We start from the raw sequence: 11,980 nt of genomic DNA on the forward strand, positions 1-11,980 counted from the left end.
AGGGCAAAAAGAGAAGCACAGGGGGCCAAGGGTGCTGGGCCACAGAGCATGCCTGGGCTTTGGAGGGCTCCTGCTACACAGCAGGGCGGGCGGGCCATGGGTTGGTTTGTCAGGAAGACCATGTGGACCCCAGGGCAAGTTCTAGTCCTTCTGCTGCCCTCCCTGGTCCAGGGCAGCCTCATTGCTTGGCTGATTTAGCCCAGGGCAGTTCTCCAAGCTGGCCAGCTCTCTTCCTGCCACCGAGCCTCTGTGGCTGCAGGGGGAGCAGGGGCACTGCAGGCACCAGGGCTGGCGTGGTGGGGATGGGCGCTGTGCTTCTCTTCTGGGTGTGGACAGGGCTCTGTGCCTCCAGATCCCCAGGAAGACTGTGTATGACCAGCTCAACCACATCCTCATCTCCGATGACCAGCTTCCCGAAAACATCATCCTTGTCAACACCTCGGACTGGCAGGGGCAGGTAGAGGGGCAGTCTCTTGGAGTGGAGGGTCAGGGTGTAGGACAGAGGAGAGTGGGTTCCTGAAGCTGCCCCCTACCCGGCACACCTGGGTGCTGGAGCTGCTGGCTGTGGTTTGCCTGGACGTGCCTGGGGTCTCTGGAGCCCCTGAGAGCTTTGGTGAGGGTCAGGTGCTGGGGGTGGCCTGGGCGGCTGTGCCGAAGTCAGCGTCTGCCTGTCTTCTGCCAGTTCCTCTCCGACGTCCTGCAGAGGCACACGCTCCCCGTGGTGTGCACGTGCTCTCCTGCGGACGTCCAGGCGGCCTTCAGCACCATCGTCTCACGGATACAGAGATAGTGAGTTGGGCTCCACCCTGTACTCACCACCCAAGTACCCCTCGGGGTCCCTGCACCCCCACCTCTGCCCATTGCTCCGGGGCTAGGTGCGTCCTGGACCTGGGGCTGTGGCTGGTGTCCACAGAGGCTGACCCATGCGCTCTTCGCAGCCTGGCCTCCCCTCAGTTGTGGGCGGGAGCAGCAGCCTGGTGGGTGTCCTGCCACACTGGAGTGGTGGCCTCCTGGCCTGTCCTTGGAAGCCTGGGCTGAGGCCATGACTGTGTGGTCCCTCAGCCTGGGCACGTTTGGGCATGTGGGGGTCCTGGGCTTGGGCAGCTCCAGGGCAGTTGTGGCATGAGCGGCCACAGGCACGGAGCCCCCTGGGCTCACACTGGCATCCTTGGATGGAGGACGGCTCCCCTGAGGCGTCTGTCCCCTCTCCGTCCCACCTGCCTCTGGATTGCAGCTGCAACTGCAATTCCCAGCCCCCGACCCCCGTGAAGATCGCCGTGGCGGGAGCGCAGCATTACCTCAGTGCCATCCTGCGGCTCTTTGTGGAGCAGCTGTCCCACAAGACACCCGACTGGCTCGGCTACATGCGCTTCCTGGTCATCCCACTGGGTGAGCACCACGCCGTCCACCTGGGCCTGGGCACAGATGCCACGGGCAGTGTGGCGTGGCATGGAGTGGTGTGGCGTGGCGTGGCGTGTTGTGTGGCGTGGCGTGGCGCGGTGTGTCGTGGTGTGGCGCGGTGTGGCATGGCGTGGTGTCCCTGCTTGCTACACATTTGTTGTTTTTAAATGTTTGTTTGATACAGTAACACTTTGTTAATTTTAATTATATGCAAGATAACTTGATTGCCCTAAAACAGCCATTTGGGTCAAGATAAAGCCATCGCCCTCTGAAGGGGCCTGAGCTGGGTGTCTCCTCCATCAGTCGCTGTGATAACTCTATGCCAGTTTCGATTTCCAAAGTCAGAAGTGCAAAGCAGGGCTCGTTATTAATCCTCTCAAATCGTCCAGGTCCTGTGTCGTCGAACTCCATTACTTCTTTAGGTCCATACGATGTGTCTTACCACGAAACAAACCCACCCAGCCTTAATCTGTTGACCAGCAGCAAGGCCTGGAGGCGACACCTCTCCCGTGTGGCCCTCACGATGCCGACGTCAGAGCCCTGAGCCAGCCGAGGCCTCTGCACGGTCACATGTGCCCTGCTGGGCCTTCCTCAGTGGCACTCAGGGCTCTGGGACCTCAGCTCAGGGCTGGAGCTCCTTCAGCGGGGCCACAGGCATCCACCAGGGAGGGGCAGTGGTGGCTTTCTCTTTCGGTGGCAGGAAAGTGGGCTTGTCTGGAAGGCAGCAGCACAGGCCTGGGGTCGGGTGGCCCAGCTTTTGTGCCGCGGTGGGAGCCTTGCAGCTCCGAGTCCCCCGTGGTGACACCAGCCCCACCCCTGGCATGCAGGCTCCCACCCCGTGGCCAGGTACCTAGGCTCCGTGGACTACCGCTACAACAACTTCTTCCAGGACCTGGCCTGGAGAGACCTGTTCAACAAGCTGGAGGCCCAGAGTGCGGGTGAGGCCCGGGCGCGTCCACAGCCCACGCCACGGCGGGAGGAAGGGGCCCCGGTTTCCCCAGATGCTGTGCCCAGGAGGCCCTGCACCTGCTCAGGCTCAGCCTCAGGGAAGAGGCCATGGACAGGGCCTGCTGGGGCCTTGGCCAGGATGCCTCCTATTCCCCTGAGCCTTGGAATGTTGGAAGCTGTGGGGCCTGTCTGGGAAGGGGCGGGCACAGCCCTTCAGGTCTTCCCACGCTTGCCCTGGTACTGCCTCGAGAGTAGAGCACCAGGGCCCCTCAGCTGCAACCAGCGAGCCCTGCCGCGCTTCGGGGTACGGGAGGCCTGGGCGGGGCACCGGGGAGGCCCAGCTTAGCCCCGCCTGCAACCCCACCTGGCACCAGCCTAACCCCCCACCGCCTCCTCCCCCTGCAGTACAGGACACGCCAGACATTGTGTCACGCATCACGCAGTACATCGCAGGGGCCAACTGTGCCCACCAGCTCCCCATCGCAGAGGCCATGCTGACCTACAAGCAGAAGAGGTAACGCGGTGGGCCCAGGCACCATACCACAGGCTGCCGCCAGCCACCAACCCTCCGTGGGCCTCCCCACCCGCTGCTGGGCTTGGCCTGGTGGGCCGCAGAGCCCTGCACCGGGCTTAGACCAGAGCCTGGGCCAGCTGGGCAGCTCTGGGCCTCCCTGACAGCAGGTGCTTCCCCGCACCCCAGATCCCTCATAGTAAGCGCCATTTCCGCACCTGTTTCTGTGCATGTTGAAACCCCGCGTGATAAGAAGTTGACAGAATGGATAGCTGTCATGGGGCCAGGGTGGCAGTGGCCCAGCCCCTCCAGTCTGGGCACCTGTTCCTTCCACAGCCTGGGTTTCTCGGGCTGGGGAACGAAGGATTCCCTGGGCCTCGGGCCCTGTGGGTGAGTGATCAGCTCGTGTCCTCACCTGCCCAGAGCAGGACGGTGCTCAGGAGCCCCCGGCCGAAAGTCCTGCGGAGACCTGTCTGTCCCGCCCGGCGCCTCCTCCCTGCACATCTGGCGCCACTGTCCCACACCTTCCCTAGACTACAGGGGAGAGAGCCGAGTGCAAGGCGCAAAGCCAGCGCTCACGGGCTCTCCCACGCAGGAGCCCCAGTGAGATGGGAGCCACTGAGTGCCCTCGGCGGTCCCTGGAGGGGTCCTGAGGGCGTCGTAACGTGTCTGTTTTCTCTTTTGGTGGCTTTCTGAAAAGGAAAAAGCATTTTCATTTTGACTTTACCCTAAGGTACGGCTCTGTGGGTCTGCCTCCCACCCTGTCTGTCCCCAGGCTGGTCTTCAGGGCTTGTTTGGCAGAGTCACGTAGGAATCACCCCGCTGTCCTCTCTCCGGACTGGGAGTCAGGCCCTGAGGGCCACCAGCTGCAGGCTGAGAGCCCGCACGGGAGAGGGGAAGTGGCCCCAACCCGAGTCACTTTTTGCTGACGTGGACCCTTTTCCTCCATCCGATCTCTGACACTGAGTCAGGAGAGCAGCAGATGGGCCCTCCTGTCCCTGGCCAGGCCCGTGTGCTGGGACTCCACCCCAGAGCCCTGAAGCCTGCAGGTCGGCCAGGCAGGCCTTTCCCCGGCTCTGTTTTGACCCTGGGTTTTGATTTAAGAAGTGGCCAGGTTTAGCCCCTCCTCGTTTTAAACCAGGAGCGAGTGGCTGGTGTGGACACCAGGATCACCTGGGCCAGGCTGTTTCCCAGGCCCTTCACGTTTGTGAAGCTGGCAGCAGCCTAGCAGGGGCACGGGTGCACGCCCTACACACGGGGACGCCCAAGCAAGTAGTTAAGGAGCTGGCCTGGTGACACGGTGGTCAGCGGCTGTGCCTTGGGCCCCCTACACACTGCAGAGCCTGGCTCCCAGGGCTCCCTCGAGCACCTGGGGCCAGCAGAGAGGGGTTTCCAGCATCTTGTGGCTTACCTGGAGACGGGGCCAAACTACCGAGACCTCCAAATGGGGGTAAAGAGTTTTCATTCCGAGGCAGCTCCACCCCCTACAACCTTTCATGTTCAGAGCCAAGTCCCAGGCACCCCCAAAGCTGCCCTTTCAGACAGAGCCACCCCTTTTCCTTGGCCAGGTGTGTCCTGCTGCAGGGTGGGGGCCCCTGCTGGTCCTCCCATGGGCTCGTTCTCTACCCCGTGTCTTCTGCCCTGTGTGAGGTCATTTGCTGTCCTAGGAAACCCCCCCAACCCCCTGACCTCAGTGCAGGGTAGTTGGGTCCCTGGGGCCCCCTTGCTGGCCTAGGAGCTGCTCGAAGTGGGCAGCCTGGGACCACCCACAGCTGTAGGGCTGGGCGCTGGGAAGACACAGGAAGGGGGCTGAACATCCTATGTCTTGTCCTGCTAAACAAGCCTTCACAGGTGAAAGACCAGCCGTGGGGGCCTCCCCTGCTGACCCCCAGCAGCCTCCGCCCTTGCCCCCTGGCTGTGGCACGAGGAGCCTGCAGCATGTTCTGGCCGCCCGGCCGCCGCAGGCCGTGGACGCAGCTGCTTGTATCTCCCAGGTCAGCTCTTCCAAGCAGCAAGCCAGGGCCTTAGGGGGCCTTACACCCACTCCCACCCTGCACCTCCTGCCCCTGCCTCCGTGTTGCAGGGGTGACACTGGCTGCCTCCACGTTATAAGGGTGACACTGGCTGCCTGGGGTCCTGGAAGGAACCCAGCAAAGGCCATAAGTGTCTTACCTGCTCTCTGTACCCAGAGGAGGGTCAGTCGGGAGGCTGAGAGAGTGCAGGCGGTGGCACAGCCCTTGTGACGGGGGACCTGTGCAGAGCCCTCTCCAGCCAGGCTCCCCTGCGAGAGTCCCTCGTGAGGTGACTCCTGCTGGCCCGCCCTCCTCTGCCGAGAATGGCACTCCTCCTATGAGGGCAGGCCAGGCCTGGAGGGCGGCCTCGAGCCCCAGCCTGCCCGTGCAGCGCATGGGTGGAAAGGGCTGCTCAGGCATCCGGCAGCTTGCCCAGGGCCATGCGGAGTGGCCCCCAAGGCATCTGTGCCCTCCGTGCCCGCGGGGCCTCCCCACGCCACGGTGGTATGCTCCTTACACTCCTGACCACACTGCCTCCACAGACATGTGTGTGCCTCCAGGGTCAGGATGAGGGTCTCAGTGTCCAGCCGGTGTCACCCCTGTCATATTGGCCCATGTCCAGGGCTGGGTGCTGTCTGCATGGCCCAGAGGCGCAGCTTGGCTTTGAGAGTTCCAGCAACATCCCTGTGTTGTGACGTCTCCTGCATTCGGCCCTCATCTGCCACGCACTGCCCCATGGGCCTCGGAGCAGAGCATGGATGGGAGGCCAGCCTGCCATGGCTGGCTCGGTGGGGGGGTCTGGCTCGGCAGAGGGCAGGTGGCCCTGGGAATTGGAGCCACCCATGCCCTGGGGACCAGCAGCCACCACCTGTCTTCTGTGCCTTCGCGTGCCTGGGAGGACACAGATGTCACAGATTTCCAAACACTGGTCTGCTCAACAAGGATAGTGGGATGTCAAAGGCCACGTCCAGGCACTCCTGCCTGACAGCTGTGGACACAGCCAGGGTGCTGGGGGGCCAGGAGGCCGCCCTGAGGCAGAGGTGGGCCTCAACACAGGATTTGCATCGCTTTATGTTATTTGAAATGGACAAGAAGAGGGGAAAGTTTCAACTCTTCTCCTTAGAAATGGAACTAGGCCTGGGGCATCTTTAATGGGATGGGAGGAATCTGTAGGTGGTTTCATCCAGAGGCATTTGCCAGGTCTTCTGCAGAGGGTGGGCCAGGAGCCGTCCAGGTTGGCGTCTGGGGAGGGTGGGTCTTGCCAGCCGCCGTCTCCTCACACTGGCGCTGCGAAGACAGGGAAGGCACCTGCTGGGACCAGCCGCAGAGGCTGCCTCCTGGGAGTGTGCTCTGGACCGGCTGCCGGGCAGAGGCTGTTTTACTTGTGGGCACACTTTGTGGGGAGCACTGGGATCAAGCCTCTGCCCTGCAGGGCTCTTGAGGAGATAGCGCTGCTGGTCCTGGGAGCTGGTGCTCCAGGCAGACGGCTGGGCTGGGCCTGTGGCATCCTCCGCTGGGCCTGTTTCCTGCAAGGGATTCTCTCTGAATGACCCTGTGCTGGACGACAACCCAAGGGAGGGCCGGGGCCACTGTGCGAGCCCATGTTCTGCACCTGGTGCCGGGCTGTCCCTGAGGGCCACCCTGCTGGCCTGGCCATTCTCGTCCTGCCCCCGGCGCTCCAGGGGCAACAGGTGCTCCTCTGCACTGTGTGTGCACAGTCTCCGCCTGTAAGACAGCCACTTGCCGGCATCAGACTCTGCAGTTTGGGGAAATGAGACAGAAGAAACAGCTGAGGGAGCTGCCCAGAGAGAAGGCACCAGTTGCTGATGCGGTCTGGCTGAGGAAGCTGGGCGGGGAGGCACCTCTGTCCCTACGTGCAGGCCACGGGGGGCCTTGAGGCCAGGGGAGAGGAGGAAAGAGGAGAGCCAGACCCAGCCCACCACTCAGGATAGGCCCTGCCCTCTGGATCTTTCCTGGGGCCCAGAAGGAGATGCCCTCACCTCACCCTAGCTGCCGGCGGGGCCTCATGCTGTGCTGGCCCCTTGTCTTGTGGGAGAGCTCCCTGGGCCCAAGCCCAGGCTGCAGTGGGCACAGTCAGCAGGAGCCTGTGCGAGCTGGACCACAGGACAGCCCTGCTTGAGCTGCACACGTCGGAGGGGAAGACAGACGGGTCCCCTCAGCGGCCCCGCGGCTCCTGTCCTCCACCCTTGGCATCTTCGTGTGGACGGGCTGTGACCAGACTTCCAGGAGAGGCTGCTGTTACCTGCCAGATGTTGTATGGGGCCAAGTCCAGGCAAAACCTCCACTGCCCGCTGAGTACATCAGCTCACGCGGGGCACGGCCTGGGGTGTGCTGGGCCTGCCTGCAGGCTGTGCGTGGGGTGTTCTGGTAGAACATGGAGGCCCACTGCAGCCAAAGCCTGGCCTCTTATGTGGGCATGGACGTTACCCAGATAGTCTGGAGAAAACTTCTGCACCCTGGCTTTGGTGCTGCTGATTACCAGAGAGGGCCCAGGCTCTTCCTGGGAGTCCCAGGGCACTGGCAGCTGCCCTAACCCCAGCAGAGCAGGGGTGCCCAGCTTGGTGGGGAAGTGGAAATGCAAGCCGGACAGGGCTGAGCTGGCTGTGTGGGCGTCGGGCACCTAGGATGGCAGAGTGAATCCCTCCGTGGAGCTGTGCCCTCTGGCCTGTCCTCCTGACCATGGGTGCACAGAGACCCCTTTGTCCTTCCAGCATGTCAGCATGTCAGAAGGGGCCCAGGCGTTGGTCCTGGGGGCCAGGCCAGGGCTGGCAGTGGTTGGAGATGGGTGGGGCCGGGACACACAGGGCAGGGCTGTCCGGCAGGGCCATCCGGCAGGGCCGCGGCCCCAGGGCTGCGCCAGGTTCTCAGGCCAAGAGGGAGCTGTGCCCACCAGGCGGGGCTGTGCCCTGAGGAGAGCTTAACTGTCTGTTTCCTTGCTCTTAGCCCTGACGAAGAGTCCTCCCAAAAGTTCATTCCCTTTGTCGGGGTGAGTACTGGCCAGCTTTATGTGATGGGAAACCGCACACCTGCCAACTTGTCGTTTACAGTCAGAACGTTTGGGGATTGACTCGATATATTCCAGAACCTTCCCACAGATACGAGCTGGGGATTTGCCTTCCCATCTGGCCTGTCTCAAAGCTCGCTTCCTTCCCTGCTGGAGTGGGGTGTGGGGCCAGAGGTTGTTAGTTCCCCTTAGCTCTGCCTTGGGGGCTGATAAATGGAAGCAGAGACAGGTCGGTGGGGCGAGGCCTCAGAACACCCAGGAGGCTTGGCCCCACGTCTCAGGAGAGGAGAGACTGCCTGCCCGGGTTGGGGAGGGCGCCTCTGTCCTTTAGGAGCCCAAGGCCCCGGGAGCTTCCCAGTGCTCACTTGGGCTGCAGCCTGCAGTGTGTGGGTTTCACTTCCTGCCCTGCCCAGGGTTAGGGCTGCTTCTGCCAGCCAGGCCATCTCCCTGCCAGCCCTGGGTCTCCACAGCCTGTTTCCTGCCATCTTTTCGCTCTGTTGTGTGGCCTCCCTCCCGCCAGGTGTCTGCTGTGAGACAGACCCACAGGGCCTGGCAGACAGGTTGCCCAGGCAGCGGAAGGGTCTCTGGGCCTCGGTTTCCCCACTGGTGGAACAGAGGCCTTTTTGTGCACCGTGCAGTGGTTGGGTCTGCTGAGGGCTCTGGGGCGATGGCTGGCCCTCTGGGAGGGTGGAATTCGTCTTGAACAGCGGCTGCCCAAAGAGCTTTCTCCGGTGACAAGAGTACACTGTGCTCGGGCACACAGGCCTTCCCATGCAACCAAGGCCCTGCGGTGTCACTGGGATTCACGGTAGATCTACGTAGCCGCCTGTGGCTCGTGGCTGCCAGGTCCGGGGCCTATCCCCGTCGGCCCGCCAAGGTCCCTCTCACCAGCGTCCTGTTTTTACTGCACACATAGTTTGCAGCTGCCCTGAGGGCCGACTTTAGAGAGAGCAGTCCCTCCTGCTGAGGCCACGCACCCTGAGCACTGTCTGTCCCCACATGGCTGCTCTGAGCTCAGCTCTGCTCCACAGATGGGGAGAGAAGGGCAGGAGGGAGCTGGCACCACCTGGCCGCTCCAGCATCATGGGAGTGGTGGCCACGGTGGGGAGGCGGGAGCCCCACTGGGAGGGCGCTGGGCTAGCTGAATTGCACGGCTTTCACCAGCCAGTGCCTGTTGTTTTCTAGGTTGTGAAGGTTGGAATTGTGGAGCCATCCTCGGCCACATCAGGTAACCCCGTCCCACCCTGAGGCCTTGTGAGTGGCCCGTGGGTGGGCTGCAGGAGCACGGTCATTCGAGTCCTGCAGACCAGATCAACCTTTCAGGGCCTGAGAGCCGCCACGTCCCAGTCTTGCTGTGGTGCTTCTGTCCTGCGGGGGGTTCATCCTCCAAGGACTGCTGTCACAAAGCCCCACATCAAGGCTGGCAGGGTTGTCTTCCAAAAACCGAGGAGAATCCGAGACCCTCCCGTCTCTCACAGGCCACTGGGGACTCCCACCCTGCCCACCCCCAGGAGCTGCCTGGCCTGGCCACATCCTGGTCCGGAGGGCCTGGTGGCACCCGGGCAGAGCAGCAGGTGGGCTCAGCCTGCCCTGTGACTCCTCCCCAAAGGCGACTCGGACGACGCGGCCCCCTCGGGCTCTGGCACGCTCTCCTCCACCCCGCCGTCCGCATCTCCTGCGGCCAAGGAGGCCTCACCCACCCCGCCCTCCTCCCCGTCGGTGAGCGGAGGCCTGTCCTCCCCCAGGTAAAGGTGCCTCACGGCTCAGCACGTTTCACTTACCCGCCCCACCACATGCTGCCTGATTCAGTCATCCTCCCCTATGTCACATCCACCTCCCAGGGCACCTGGCCTGTCAGCCACGAAGGCGGAGGGGCTCTGCAGGACGGCTGGGTCCTCTCTGGCCACCTCCTGCCACAGATCTGGTGTTTGGGGGCAGGACCTCTGGGGGACAGAAACTCCTGCACAGTGAATAAACATGGGCGTTGTGCTGGGCTGTCTCTCAGCTCTGTACACAGTTGGGGCTTTTAAAAAACAAGCTGAGGGCAGAAGGTGCAAGAGACGTGAGTCTCTAGACGGTCCTCATGGGATGAGCTTCGATAGCTGTGCTGAGGCCCCGCTAGCCCGCCCGGGTCTCTCCGGAGCAGACCTCACTCAAGTGGAACTAAGCCATGGGGGGTTGTGGGCCCTGAGGCCAGGCGTGGTGCTGGTGCTGCGTGCAGGGCTCACACCAGCAGATACCCCCCCGACCCCCCTGCCTCTGTGTTTCCAGCCGCCGGCTCCTTCCAGGCTGCGCCTGAGGGAGCTGGTTCGCACGGGCCCTCACGACTCCAAGGGGCAGCTTGGAGAGCAGGTGGACAGGCCTCCCAGGCCGAGGCTCTCCTGTCGCCAGGGTCCCTGTAATTTAAGCAGGACCCTTGTGGGGGTGACTGGGCATGTGAACAGCTCCACAGAGCATGCTCCAAGCACCCGGCCCTCCTCTGCTGGCAAGTTGGCACAGGTGCTGGCTGTCACCTCCTGGCCTGTCACAGGGACAGTGATGTCCCCATCACTAGGCCCAAAGATGCAGGTGTGAATGCCTCCCTCTGCCTTTCCCAGCCAGGGTGTCGGCGCCGAGCTGATGGGGCTGCAGGTGGACTACTGGACGGCAGCACAGCCTGCGGACAGGAAGAGGGACGCCGAGAAGAAGGACCTGCCTGTCACCAAAAACACGCTCAAGTGCACTTTCCGGTCCCTCCAGGTCAGCAGGCTGCCCAGCAGCGGCGAGGCTGCAGCCACGCCCACCATGTCCATGACCGTGGTCACCAAGGAGAAGAACAAGAAGGGTGAGGTGGGGCAGGCTATAAGGCCACACGGCGCAGAAGGGCGGCTCTGTGGGAGAGGGCGGCTCGCAGTCAACAGGGATGACAGCCCCCGGGCTGGCCTCGGGCAGCCCACATGCGCAGGCAGGGGCGGGTGGGGTGAGGGAGCCTGAATCCTGAGGGCAGTGAGGGTCAGGTGCTTCTGACCAGAGCCTCAGGCGGAGGCCAGCTGGGTGGGCAGGAGAGCAGCTGTCCTCAGTCACCGTGGAAGGCAGGTTTCCTAGGTGAGCAGTGCCATGACCAGCTGAGCCCCCAGTGCCTCCCCCACACGTACCCCTGGCCCTGGCCCCAGCCCCGAAGGAGCAGCAAGATGACAGCAGGGCCTCTTTTCTCCTCCCAGTGATGTTTCTGCCCAAGAAAGCGAAGGACAAGGACGTGGAGTCTAAGAGCCAGTGCATTGAGGGCATCAGCCGGCTCATCTGCACTGCCAGGCAGCAGCAGAACATGCTGCGGGGTGAGCACCACCGGCCCCGGGGTCTGTAGAGTGGGACGTAGGTGAGAGCACAGCAAGGCTGCTTTGGAGCCCAGCCTAGGAGCTGCGGGTGTCTCGCTGTGACACGCACATTCCACGATTCAAGGTGCAAGCACATTCGATGAAGCCCTCAGTGAGGCTGACAACCTTCCAAATGCTGAGAAAGAATTTTTTTTCAACCCTTTTTGCTTTTTAAAAATAATGACTTGTTTCGTTTTTCTTGTTTGTTTTTTGTTTTGGTTTTTTTTTTTTTGAGACAGAGTTTTGCTCTTGTTACCCAGGCTGGAGTGCAATGGTGTGATCTCAGCTCACTGCAACTTCCATCTCTCAGGTTCAAGCGATTCTCCTGCCTGAGCCTCCCAAGTAGCTGGGATTACAGGCGCGTGCCACCACGCCCGGCTAATTTTTTGTATTTTTAGTAGAGATGGGGTTTTACCGTGTTGGCCAGGCTGGTCTCAAACTCCTGACCTCAGGTGATCTGCCTGCCTCGGCCTCCCAAAGTGCTGGGATTATGGGCGCGAGCCACCGCACCTGGCCTAAAAATAATGGCTTGTAGTTTAAAAGTGTTGGCTGAGCGCAGAGGCTGAGGCAGGAGAATGGCGTGAACCCGGGTGGCGGAGCTTGCAGTGAGCCGAGATTGCGCCACTGCACTCCAGCCTGGGTGACAGAGCAAGACTCCGCCTCAAAAAAAAAAAAAAAAAAAGGGGTTTTGGAGAAGATACTCTGCAAGTAACTGTTTCAGAAACGGAGC

At 62.3% G+C, this 11,980-nt stretch overlaps 1 protein-coding gene across 16 annotated transcripts in view, besides 2 other annotated features; it reads left to right on the forward strand.

Moving 5' to 3' along the window:
- Positions 1-11,980, forward strand: part of PACS2 (phosphofurin acidic cluster sorting protein 2) — a 97,374-nt gene that overhangs the window by 81,351 nt on the left and 4,043 nt on the right. For 8 of the 16 annotated variants that reach the window (XM_017021112.3, XM_006720090.3, XM_017021105.3 and 5 more), the window contains exons 14-24: positions 353-457; positions 683-789; positions 1,235-1,389; positions 2,229-2,339; positions 2,755-2,863; positions 3,561-3,593; positions 7,837-7,879; positions 9,083-9,125; positions 9,507-9,642; positions 10,495-10,721; positions 11,098-11,211. In XM_017021112.3, coding sequence (XP_016876601.1) covers positions 353-457; positions 683-789; positions 1,235-1,389; positions 2,229-2,339; positions 2,755-2,863; positions 3,561-3,593; positions 7,837-7,879; positions 9,083-9,125; positions 9,507-9,642; positions 10,495-10,721; positions 11,098-11,211 — 1,183 coding nt within the window. The remainder of the gene's footprint in view (positions 1-352; positions 458-682; positions 790-1,234; positions 1,390-2,228; positions 2,340-2,754; positions 2,864-3,560; positions 3,594-7,836; positions 7,880-9,082; positions 9,126-9,506; positions 9,643-10,494; positions 10,722-11,097; positions 11,212-11,980) is intronic. The other 8 variants (XM_017021111.3, NM_001243127.3, XM_006720091.3 and 5 more) reach the window with 1 other exon arrangement.
- Positions 8,399-8,899: an enhancer, noted in NCBI's record as "H3K4me1 hESC enhancer chr14:105856860-105857360 (GRCh37/hg19 assembly coordinates)". NCBI's record gives its function as "activates a minimal SCP1, AML or CMV promoter by ChIP-STARR-seq in naive H9 embryonic stem cells {active_cell/tissue: H9 hESC(naive)}" and the evidence as "EXISTENCE:reporter gene assay evidence [ECO:0000049][PMID:30033119]".
- Positions 8,900-9,400: an enhancer, noted in NCBI's record as "H3K4me1 hESC enhancer chr14:105857361-105857861 (GRCh37/hg19 assembly coordinates)". NCBI's record gives its function as "activates a minimal SCP1, AML or CMV promoter by ChIP-STARR-seq in naive H9 embryonic stem cells {active_cell/tissue: H9 hESC(naive)}" and the evidence as "EXISTENCE:reporter gene assay evidence [ECO:0000049][PMID:30033119]".

The sequence above is a fragment of the Homo sapiens genome, chromosome 14, assembly GCF_000001405.40.
Source record: "Homo sapiens chromosome 14, GRCh38.p14 Primary Assembly".
NCBI classification, from domain to species: Eukaryota; Metazoa; Chordata; class Mammalia; order Primates; family Hominidae; genus Homo; species Homo sapiens.